This window comes from Homo sapiens, chromosome 15, assembly GCF_000001405.40.
Source record: "Homo sapiens chromosome 15, GRCh38.p14 Primary Assembly".
Taxonomy (NCBI): Eukaryota; Metazoa; Chordata; class Mammalia; order Primates; family Hominidae; genus Homo; species Homo sapiens.
Genome location: NC_000015.10, coordinates 101,875,964 through 101,889,258, shown reverse-complemented (window position 1 = coordinate 101,889,258; position 13,295 = coordinate 101,875,964). Strand labels below are relative to the sequence as shown.

The window sequence follows — 13,295 nt, the reverse complement described above, 5'->3', positions numbered from 1 at the left end:
TCTTCTTTTGAGAAGTGTCTGTTCATATCCTTTGCCCACTTTTTGATGGGGTTGTTTGTTTTTTTCTTGTAAATTTGTTTGAATTCATTGTAGATTCTGGATATTAGCACTGGGGCCTGTTGTGGGGTGGGGGGAGGGGGGAGGGATAGCATTAGGAGATATACCTAATGTTAAATGATGAGTTAATGGGAGCAGCACACCAGCATGGCACATGTATACATATGTAACTAACCTGCACGTTGTGCACATGTACCCTAAAACTTGAAGTATAATAAAAAAACAAAAACGAAAAAATAAAAACAAAAATAAAAAGGCAAACAAGGACACTATAAGAAAAGTATGGGTCAACCAATATCCCTGATGAACATAGATACAAAAGTCCTCAAAAAAAAGTGCTAGCAAACAGAATTTAGCAACACATTAGGAGAACATTTACCATGATAAAGTGGATTTATCCTCCAGATGGTTCAGCATACACAAATCAAATGTGATAAACCACATTAACAGAATGAAGGATAAAAAAAATAGCTATCTCTATATATGCAGAAAAAGCATTTGACTAAATTCAAAATCCTCTCATGACAAAATCTCTCAACAAATTGGGCGTAGAAGGCATGTACCTTAACACAAAACAGGACATATATAACAAGCTCACAGCTCACATCATACCCAACAATGAAAAAGTGAAATCTTTTCTGCTAAGATCAAGAACAAGACAAGGATATTTATTCTCACTACTTCTATTCAACTTATTTCTGGAAGTCCTAGCCAGAGCAATTAAGCCAAATAAAGAAATAAAAGATATTCAAATTGAAAAGGAAGAAGTAAAATTGTCTCTGTTTGATGACATATTATATATAGGAAACCCTAAAAACTCCACCAAAAAGCTATTAGAAATGATAAATGAATTCAATAAAATTGCAGAATTCAAAATCAATGTATAAAACTCAGTAGTTTCTTTACACTGACAACAAACTATATGACAAAAATAAAGAAATCAATCTCATTCACGGTAGCATCAAAAAAACCGTATTTTTTTTTGTTTAGGAGCACATTTAGGATTGTACTTAGGAGTACATTTAACCAAGGAGGTGAAAGATCTGTATTCTGAACACTATAAAACATTGATGAAAAAATTGTAGATGACATGAATACATGGAAAGATATTTTATGTTCATGGGTAGGAAGAATTAATATTCTTAAAATGTCCTTACTGCCCAAAGTGATTTATAGGTTTAATGCAATATTTATCAAAATTTCAATGTCATTCTTCACAGAAATAGAAAAAACAATTTGAAAATTTATATGGAACCACAAAGGACCCTGAATAACTAAAGGACTCTTGAGCAATAAGAACAAAGCTGAAGGCCTCACAATCTGACTTCAAAACATATTACAGGAAAAGAACAAAAGAAGGAAGAAGAGGGTAGAGGAGAAGTGCAGCAAGGGTGGAGGGAGGTGCCCGCGCTGGGTCGGAGGAGCAGGAGGAGTATGGAGGGAAGACTCCTGGGTGGCATGAAGCTCTTGCACCTCTAGGCACTGCCCAGCCCTGTGTCAGCCAGGGCTGAACCCCCACAGGATAAGGAAGCCTGTGTGTGTACCAACAATCAAAGCTACATCTGTGACACAACAGGACACTGCTATGGGCAGTCTCAGTGTTGTAACTACTACTATAAACATTGATGGTTCTGGTTGGCATGGACCATCACCATCATCCTGAGCTGCTGCTGTGTCTGCCACCACAGCCAAGCCAGCCCTCAAGTCTAGCAGTAGCAACATGAAATCAACCTGACTGCCTATCCAGAAGCCCGCAATTACTCAGTGCTACCATTTTATTTCACCAAACTATTTATTACCTTCTTATGAGGAAGTGGTGAACTAATCTTCACCTGTTTCCCTCCCTGTCTGTCCATTGTAGATGAGCTCTGAGCCGTTTTCCTGTGAAGATTCTTTGAATTGTGGCCATTCTATTCACATGAACTCTCACATCTGGAGCACAGATGGCCCTCTCAAGGTAATTTATTGTATGCATTGACTGTTTACCAAACAAATGTCTTACTATGTACTCAGGTATATTCAGCAGCATTGTCGACTGCAGTCCCCAGTGCTTGCCAGAAGATACTGTATTCAAAGTAGAAGTTTCACAGTGATGAGCAATCACTGCAATTTTCCCATTGCTCCATGGACTCTCGGAGGCCGGTGTTCTGTTCCCTGTAAATAGAAATGTACTCTGAACCTTTCTGCCTCCCTCAGCTGTTCCTAGTCCTTGGTATCAGCCCCTGGAGATGTCCACAACCACTTAGGACAAAAGGCAAAAGTGGAATTTCAGACAAAACTTTGATAGGATCTTCAGTGATAAACTTGGACTAACTGTGGCCCAGGTATCAGCACTCCCAAGAATTGCCAGGAGGAAGCTTTGGCAGACACCACAGGTATAGCAAGGCCTATCTCCCTCCGCTGAATCCAACAGGGGCAAGCAAGCTGGCATGTGGCTTGAGGTGACCCGAATATGTCAGCACCCCTCAGATGTCCTTCTTTGCACTTTTAAAAAAAATCTCAGAATTTGCTGGCAACATGGCCAAATAGGAACAGCTCCAGTCTGCAGCTCCCAGTGAGATCAATGCAGAATGCAGGTGATTTCTGCATTTCCAACTGAGGTACCTGGTTCATCTCACTGGGACTGGTTGGACAGTGGGTGCAGCCCACGGAGGGTGAGCCAAAGCAGAATGGGGCTTCGCCTCACCCGGGAAGTGCAAGGGGTTGGGGGAATTCCCTCCCCTAGCCAAGGGAAGCCCCGAGGGACTGTACCATGAGGAACGGTGCACTCCACCCAGAAACTATGCTTTTCTCACGGTCTTCACAATCCACAGACCAGGAGATTCCCTCCAGTGCCTCTGCCACCAAGGCCCTAGGTTTCAAGCAGAAAACTAGGCAGCTGTTTGGGCAGACACCGAGCTAGCTGCAGGAGTTTTTTTTTTTTCATGCCGCAGTGGCAACTGGAATGCCAACAAGACAGAACCATTCTCTCTCCTGGAAAGGGGGCTGAAGCCAGGGAGCCAAGTGGTCTGGCTCGGCGGGTCCCACCCCTACAGAGCCCAGAAGCTAAGATCCACTGGCTTGAAATTCTTGCACAGCAGTCTGAGGTTGACCTAGGACACTCGAGCTTGGTGGGGGGAGGGGCTTCCACATTGCCAAGGCTTGAGTAGGCAGTTTTACCCCCACAGTGTAAACAAAGCCACCAGAAAGTTTGAACTGGGTGGAGCCCACCACAACTCAGCAAGGCCACAGCAGCCAGACTGCCTCTCTAGATTTCTCCTCTCTGGGCAAGGCATCTCTGAAAAAAGGGCAGCAGCCCCAGTCAGAGACCTATAGATAAAACCCCCATCTCCCCGGAACAGAGCACCTAGGGGAAAGGGCGCCTGTGGGCACAGCTTCAGCAGACTTTGAGCATCCTTGAAAAGCCTGATGGCTCTGAAGAGAGCAGCAGATCTCCCAGCACAGCATTCGAGCTCTGATAAGGGTCAGACTGCCTCCTCAAGTGGGTCCCTGACCCCGTGTATCCTGACTGGGAGACACCTCCCAGTAGGTGCCAACAGGCACCTCATACAGGAGAGCTCTGGCTGGCATCTGGTGGGTGCCCCTCTGGGACAAAACTTCCAGAGGAAGAAACAGGCAGCAATCTTTGCTGTTCTCCAGCCTCCGCTGGTGATACCCAGGCAAACAGGGTCTAGAGTAGACCTACGGCAAACCCCAACAGACCTGCAGCAGAGGGGCCTGACTGTTAGAAGGAAAACTAACAAACAAAAAGGAATAGCATCAACATCAACAAAAAGGACAGCCACTCAGTGACCCCATCAGAAGGTCACCAACATCAGAAACCACAGGTAGATAAATCCACGAAGATGGAGAGAAACCAGAGCAAAAAGGCTGAAAATTCCGAAAACCAGAACGCCTCTTCTCCTCCAAAGGATCACAACTCCTCACCAGCAAGGGAACAAAAGAAAACTGGATGGAGAATGAGTTTGACGAATTAAGAGAAGTAGGTTTCAGAAGGTAGGTAATAACAAACTCCTCCAAGCTAAAGGAGCATGTCCTAACCCAATGTAAGGAAGCTAAGGACCTGGAAAAAAGGCTAGACCAATTGCTAACTAGAATAACCAGTTTAGAGAAGAACATAAATGACCTGATGGAGCTGAAAAACACGCCATGAGAACTTCATGCAGCATGCACAAGGATGAAGCACTGATTCGATCAAGCGGAAGAAAAGATATCAGAGATTGAATATCAGCTTAATGAAATAAATCAAGAAGACAAGATTAGAGAAAAAAGAATGAAAAGAAATGAACAAAGCCTCCAAGAAATATGGGACTATGTGAAACGACCAAATCTACGTTTGATTGCTGTACCTGAAAGTGTTGGGGAGAATGGAACCAAGTTAGAAAACACTCTTCAGGATATTATCCAGGAGAACTTCCCTAACCTAGCAAGGCAGGCCAATATTCAAATTCAGAAATACGAAGAACATCACAAAGACACTCCTCAAGAAAAGCAACCCCAAGACACAAAGTCGTCAGATTGAGCAAGGTTGAAATGAAGGAAAAAATGTTAAGGGCAGCCAGAGAGAAAGGTCAGGTTACCCACAAAGGGAAGCCCATCAGACTAACAGCAGATCTATCAGCAGAAACTCTACAAGCCAGAAGAGAATGGGGGCCAATATTCAACATTCTTAAAGAAAAGAATTTTCCACCCAGGATTTCATATCCAGCCAAACTAAGCTTCATAAGTGAAGGAGAAATAAAATCCTTTACAGACAAGCAAATGCTGACAGATTTTGTCACCACCAGGCCTGCCTTAAAGGAGCTCCTGAAGGAAGCACTAAACATGGAAAGGAACAACTGGTATCAGCCACTGCACAAACATACCAAATCGTAAAGACCATTGACACTATGAAGAAACTGCATTAACTAACAGCAAAATAACCAGCTAGCATCATAATGACAGGATCAAATTCACACATAACAATATCAACCTTAAATGTAAATGGGCTAAATGCTCCAATTAAAAAACACAGACTGGCAAATTGGCTAAAGAGTCAAGACCCATCAGTGTTCTGTATTCAGGAGACCCATCTCACGTGCACAGACACAAATAGGCTCAAAATAAAGGGATGGAGGAATACTTACCAAGCAAATGGAAGGCAAAAAAAAGCAGGGGTTGTAACCCTAGTCTCTGATAAAACAGACTTTAAACCAACAAAGATCAAAAGAGACAAATAAGGGCATTGCATAATGGAAAAGGATCAATGCAACAAGAAGAGCTAATTATCCTAAATATATATGCACCCAATACAGGAGCACCCAGATGCATAAAGTAAGCTCTTAGAGACTTAAAAAGAGACTTAGACCCTCACACAATAATAGTGGGAGACTTTAACATCCCACTGTCAATACTAGACAGATCAACGAAACAGAAAGTTAACAAGGATATCCAGGACTTGAACTCAGCTCTAGACCAAGTGGATCCAATAGACATCTACAGAACTCTCCACCCCAAATCAACAGAATATACATTCTTCTCAGCATCACATTGCACTTATTCTAAAATTGACCACATATTTGGAAGTAAAACACTCCTCAGCAAATGCAAAAAAAAAAATGAGAATTATAACAGTCTCTCAGATCGCAGTGCAATTAAATTAGAACTCAGGATTAAGAAACTGACTCAAACCCACACAACTACATGTAAACTGAACAACCTGCTCCTGAACAACTACTGGGTAAATAAAGATATTAAGGCAGAAATAAATAAGTTATTTGAAACCAATGAGAACAAAGACATAACATACCAGAATCTCTGGTACACAATTATAGCAGTGTGTAGAGGGAAATTTATAGCACTAAATGCCCACAAGAGAAAGCAGGAAAGATCTAAAATTGACACCCTAACATCTCAATTAAAAGAACTCAAGAGGCAGGAGCATACAAAAAGCTAGCAGAAGACAATAAATAACTAAGATCAGAGCAGAACTGAAGGAGATAGAAACACAAAAAAACCTTCAAAAAAAATCAATGAATCCAGGAGCTGGTTTTTGAAAAGATCAATAAAATAAACAGACCACTAGCCAGACTCATAAAGAAGAAAAGAGAGAAGAATCAAACAGATGCAATAAAAAATGATAAAGGAGATACCACCACTGATCCCACAGAAATACAAACTACTATCAGAGAATACTATAAACACCTCTACACAAACTAGAAAATCTAGAAGAAATGGACAAATTCCTGGACACATACACCCTCCCAAGGCTAAACCATGAAGAAGTTGAATCCCTGAATAGACCAATAACAAGGTCTGAAATTGTGGCAGTAATTAATAGCCTACCAACCAAAAAACAGTCCAGGACCAGATGGATTCACAGCTGAACTCTACCAGAGGTACAAAGAGGAACTGGTACCATTCCTTCTGAAACTATTCCAAACAACAGAAAAAGAGGGAATCCTCCCTAACTCATTTTATGAGGCCAGAATCATTCTGGTACCAAAATTTGGCAGAGACACAACAAAAAAAAGAAAATTTCAAGCCAATATCCCTGATGAACATCGATGCAAAAATCCTCAATAAAATACTGGCAAACCAAATCCAGCAGCACATCAAAAGCTTGTCCATCACAATCAAATCGGCTTCATCCCTGGGATGCAAGGCTAGTTCAACATACGCAAATCAATAAACATAATTCATCATATAAATAGAACCAATGGCAAAAACCACATGCTTCTCTCAATAGATGCAGAAAAGGCCTTCGACAAAATTCAACAGCCCTTCATGCTAAAAACTCTCAATAAACTAGGTACTGATGGAACGTATCTCAAAATAATAAGACCTATTTATGAAAAACCCACAGCCAATACTGAATGGTGAAACACTGGAAGCATTCCCTTTGAAAACCAGCACAAGACAAGGATGCCCTATCTCACCACTCCTATTCAATGTAGTATTGGAAGTTCTGGCCAGGGCAATCAAGCAAGAGAAAGAAATTGTCTCTGTTTGCAGATGACATGATTGTGTATTTAGAAAACCCCACGGTCTCAGCCCAAAATCTCCTTAAGCTAATAAGCAACTTCAGAAAAGTCTCAGGATACAAAATCAATGTGCAAAAATCAAGCATTCCTATATGCAAAAAACAGACAAACAGAGAGCCAAATCATGAGTGAACTCTCCCATTCACAATTGCTACTAAGAGAATAAAATACCTAGGAATCCAACTTACAAGGGATGTGAAGGACCTCTTCAAGGAGAACTACAAACCACTGCTCAAGGAAATAAGAGAGGACACAAACAAATGGAAAAACATTCCATGCTCATGGATAGGAAGAATCAATATCATGAAAATGGACATACTGCCCAAAGTTTTTATAGACTCAATGCTATCCCCATCAAGCTACCATTGACCTTGTGCACAGAATTGGAAAAAACTACTTTAAATTTCATATGGAACCAAAAATGAGCCCACAGAGCTAGCACAGTCCTAAGTAAGTAGAACAAATCTGGAGGCATCACGCTGTCTGACTTCGAACTATACTACAAGCCTTCAGTAACCAAAACAGCATGGTACTGGTACCAAAACAGATATGTAGACCAATGGAACAGAACAGAGGCCTCAGAAATAACGCCACACATCTACAACCATCTGATCTTTGACAAACCTGACAAAAACAAGCAATGGGGAAACGATTCCCTATTTAATAAATGGGGTTGGGAAAACTGGCTAGCCATATGCAGAAAACTGAAACTGGATCCCTTTCTTACACTTTACACAAAAATTAACTCACAATGTATTAAAGACTTAAACATAAGATCTAAAACCATAAAAAACCCTAGAAGAAAACCTAGGCAATACCATTCAGTACATAGGCATGGACAAAAACTTCATGACTAAAACACCAAAAGCAATTGCAACAAAAACCAAAATAGACAAATGGGATCTAATTAAACTAAAGAGCTCCTGCACAGCAAAAGAAACTATCATCAGAGTGAACAGGCAACCTACAGAATGGGTGAAAATTTTTGCAATCTATCCATCTGACAAAGGGCTAATATCCAGAATCTACAAAGAACTTAAACAATTTACAAGAAAATAACAAACAAACCCATCAGTGGGTGAAGGATATGAACTGACATTTCTCTAAGGAAGACATTTATGCAGCCAACAAACATATGAAAAAAAGCTCATCATCACTGGTCATCAGAGAAATGCATATCAATACCACAATGAGATACCATCTCACGCCAGATAGAATGGCGATCATTAAAAAGTCAGGAAACAACAGATGCTGGAGAGGATGTGGAGAAATAAGAATGCTTTTACACTGTTGGTGGGAGTGTAAATTAGTTCAACCATTGTGGAAGACAGTGTGGTGATTCCTCAAGGTTCTAGAACTAGAAATATGATATGACCCAGCAATCGCATTACTGGGTATATATCCAAAGGATTATAAATCATTCTACTATAAAGACACATGCACACATATGTTTATTGTGGCACTGTTCACAATAGCAAAGACTTGGAACCAACCAAAATGCCCATTCAATGATAGATTGCATAAAGAAAATGTGGCACATATACACCATGGATACTATGCAGCCATAAAGAAGGGTGAGTTCATATCCTTTTCAGGGACATGGATGAAGCAGGAAACCATCATTCTCAGCAAACTAATCCAAGAACAGAAAACCAAACACCCAATGTTCTCACTCATAAATGGGAGTTGAACAAAGAACACATGGACAGAGGGAGGGGAACACAACACACCGGGGCCTGTCTGGGGGTAGGGGCTGGGGGAAGGTTAGCATTGGGTTAAATACCTAATGCAGATGATGGGTTGATGGGTGCAGCAAACCACCATGGCACGTGTATATCTATGTAACAATCCTGCACGTTCTGCACATGTACCCCAGAACTTAAAGTATAATTTAAAAAAAAATCTCAAACAACTCACTGAAGTGTCTCAAAGCTGAACAAGTTTTACCAAAATGAATCCTTCTCAGTTAACTGATCAAATGGATGAATCCTGACCCTCTGAAGTCTCTTTCCTGAGTTAGAGCAGGGAACTGCTCTGAGTGTTAACTGTTGGATTCACTGCAATGTCCTACCATATTTTACAAGAAGATGAAAAGGCAACCTGCAGACCTAGGCTTGATTCCCAAGTCACAGTGTGACCCCTGCTACAGGAGGTTACCCTCCTCAGGAAGAGATAGAAATAGGGAATTTGAAGGAATAGTGAGGGGACCAGGGAGATTTGATTGAGTCTGGTTTCCAGGTGAATTAAAAGGAAGGGTGTCATCCAGGGTTTGTTGCTACAGTCAAAAGAATAAATAAGTCAACGAAGAAATACCTTCATTGTCTGTGGTTTTCATGCAGATATACTCATGGAGGTTGTATCTTTCCAAAAACAGACAAATCCAAGGCTGTGAACAAGCATCCGCATTTGAATTCCATTAAACCAAAATCTATGTTGAACGAAGTGAAGTCTGTACACAGCATTGCAAATGTGAACACATTCCTGTGTGAGGCACATCACCATTTGTCAGTTATTGTGAATATGTGTATTTTTAAGCAATAAGATGCAGCTGGTCAGTTTTCTGGGCAATCTTGGCGATGCATTTCCTGTGCTGTGGTTGTTCTCTAACCACTGTGAGAAACCCAAATAAAAATCGATCCCCCCCCAAAACAAATACGTATCACAAAACCATAGTAATCAAAACAACATGACACTTGCACAAAAACAGACACATTGACCAGGGGAACAGAATAAGGAGCCCAGAAATAAACTCATGCATTTATGACCAATAAATTTTTGACAAAGGTGCCCAGAAAACGTAATGAAGTATAGACATTTGTTTCAATAAATGGTGTTAAGAAAACTAGATATCCACATGCAGAAGAACACGAATGTGTATGGTGTGTATCCTTATCTCACACCATACACAAAAATCAATTCAAAATGGATTAAAGGTTTAAACATAAAACTGTAAAACTACTAGATGAAAACATAGGGGAAAAGTTCCACAATGTTGGTTTGGTCAAAGATTTCTTGGATATAACCCCCAAAGCACAGGCAACAAAAGCAAAAATATATGGGATTGCATCAAACTAAAAAGCTTCTGCACAGCAAAGGAAACAATATGGTGAAGAGACAACCTACAAGTTGTGAGAAAATATTTGCAGAGCATACATCTGATGAAAGGCTAATCTCCAAATATATAAGGGACTCAACTCAATATCAAGAAAACAAATAACCAAGTCAAAAAATGGGCAAGGTCCTAAATAGACATTTCTCAAAAAAAATACAAATGACTAACATAAAAAAAGTTTGTCATCCTAATTATCAGGGAAATGCAAATTAAAATGACAGTGAGATGCCACTTCATACCTGTTAGAATGGCTACTATCAAAATCATAAAAGATGACAAGTGTTGAAGAGGATACAGAGAAAAGGGAACCCTCGTACACTGTTGGTGGAAATGTAAATTAATACTATTATGAAAAATAGATAAAAGTTACTCAAAAAACTAAAACTAGAATTACTATATGATCCAGCAATCCCACTTCCTTGTATATATCCAAAGGAATTTAAGTCAATATGCTGAAGAGATATCTCCAGGCTCATGTTCATTGCAGCATTATTCACAATACCCAAATATGAAATCAACACAGGTGTCTATCAACTGACAAATGGATGAAGAAAATGTAGTGTATATATACAATGGAATACTACTCAGCCTTAATAGGAAGGAAAACCTGATATATGTGACAACATGAATTAACCCAGAAGATATCATGCTAAGTGAAATAAGCCAGGCATGAAAAGACAAATATCACATGATCTCACTGATATGTGGAATCTAAAAAAGTTGAATTCATAGAAGTAGAGAATGGAATGGTGATTATCAGAGGCTAGGAGTTGGGGATAGACATGGAAAAGGTAGATGTTGATAAAAGGGTTCAAAGTTTCAGTTAGACAAAGTTTCAGTGAACTATTGCACAGAATGGTGACTGTAATAAATAACAAGGTATTGTATGTTTCAAAATGACTAACAGAGTAGATTTTAAATGTTTTCACCACAAAAAAGATATGTATGTCAATAAGATAGACCTAATCTTTCCACAATTTAAACATGTATCAAAACATTACATTGTACCCCATAAATAGATACAATTATTATTTGTCAATTTAAAATTTTTCACTAATTTATATTGTTGTTGCACCAACTCCTTTCCACCAGGCAGATTCTCATAAAGACTATTTTCTCTCTTACATGAAGCATTTCCTACACGCCTCTTAATCACGGTAGCATTGACATCATTCCACCAGATTCTATCTCCAGTGTTAAAATAATCAAGAACCCAGAAATCTCCACCAGGGGGCAACCAATGCGTATCAAAGTTTCCCACTTTCCTTTAGATTTACTTATGGGTAACTTATGGGAGAAAATACTTAAGTACTTCCCTTTTTAAAGAAAAAAATTATATGAATTCTACAAAATTATGGCAGAAAATTTAAGAAGAGCAGATGCTTCCCAACTCATTCTAAAGGGCCAGCATTACCCTGATTCTGAAACGAAAAAGCTTTACAAAATCCAAGATCCATTCCTGACTAAAGATAAAAGAAATTTTCAGCAAACTGTGAATACAGAAAACTTTCTCAGCCTGTTAAAGAGTACCTATGAAAAAAATTATAGCTAACATTATACTTAATGATGAAATATTTAATATATTTCATAACAGGAACAAGTCAAAGATGTCTGCTCTAATTCTACTCAGCATTCAACAAAATGAATATAGTGAATTCATACTAGAATTTTAAAAGCAAATGTCTTTATTCACTGCCAACATAATCATCTATAAAGAAAATCCTACATAACCTATAAAAAACTGATGGAACTAATAAGTTTTGCAAGTTTACAGGATATAATGTCAAACAAAGATCTATTATGTGCCCATAAGCTAAGAATAAACAATTGTAAATTGAAATAAAAATGTCACTTAAAAGGGCATCAGAAATATAAAACTTAGAGATAAATATAAAGTACATATGCATAAAGTACCTGTTCACCAAAAACTACAAAACATTGCTGAAAGAAATTAAATGGGCATAATATAGATGTAGAGATGTGTTGAATTTATGACTCATTTTGAACAAGGAATATATTCATCATATATTCATCAGTTAAGAATTATGTTACAGGTCTAATAACATTCAAATCAATACATAATGTCTCATAGTTCCTGAATCTAAAATATCAAAGAAAGAAACATAAAGCCATATCATGTTTAATGAGAAGGGCTTATTATATCATTTATGAGATCTTCTTGTAAATCACTAGCTGTTTGCATACTCTCTTTAGTGCTGCCTTCATCTCCTTATTCCTGAATGTATAGACAACTGGATTCAGAAAAGGAGTGAGAACTGCATCAAAAATAGCCAGAAACTTGTCCATCTGTGAATTAGGGTGTGGCCGTGTATACACAAACATGGGTGGACCAAAGAACAAAAGGACCACTGTGCTGTGAGCTGAAAGAGTGGAAAGGGCCTTGGATGAACCACCTGAGGAATGTTTCCAAACAGTAAACAGGATGAAGACGTAGGAGATTAGAAGTATGAAGAAAGTACCCACACAGATAAACCCACTGTTAACAGTGACCGTGAACTGCAATCTGTAGGTGTCGGTACAGGCTAGTCTGAGAAGCCGAGGAAGGTCACAGTAGAAGCTGTCCAACACATTAGGGCCACAGAAGGGTAAATTAACAAGAAATGCCAGTTGGAACAGGGAGTGACTGACACCAAGGGTCCAGGCAACAGCCAGAAATGAAAGGCACATTCTTGGGCTCATAATGGTCAGATAGTGGAGGGGCTTAATAGGGCCACATATCTGTCAAAGGCCATGGCTATGAGCAGCACCATCTCCACACCACCAATGACGTGGATGAAGAAGATTTGAGCGATGCAGCCTCCAAAGGAGATGACTTTGCGCTTTCTGAACAGGTCATAAATCGTCTTGGGAGAAGTGACAGAGCAGGCTCCTAAGTCAATGAAGGAGAGACTGGCCAGTAGAAAGTACATGGGGGAGTGTAAGTGAGGGTCAGTGGTCACAGAAAACACAATGAGGATGTTTCCAGTAATGCTTGCCACATAGAGCACAGAGGAAAACACTAGGAGGAGGAGCTGGATCTCCCATGAATGAGTGAGTCCCAGAAACAAAAACTCAGATACCACTGAGTGATTCTCTCCATCCAT

General features: G+C 39.6%; 2 pseudogenes; one reads left to right on the top strand and one right to left on the bottom strand.

Moving 5' to 3' along the window:
• WBP1LP5 (WBP1L pseudogene 5) lies at nucleotides 1,396-1,902 on the top strand (annotated as a pseudogene).
• Nucleotides 12,358-13,295, bottom strand: OR4F28P (olfactory receptor family 4 subfamily F member 28 pseudogene; annotated as a pseudogene).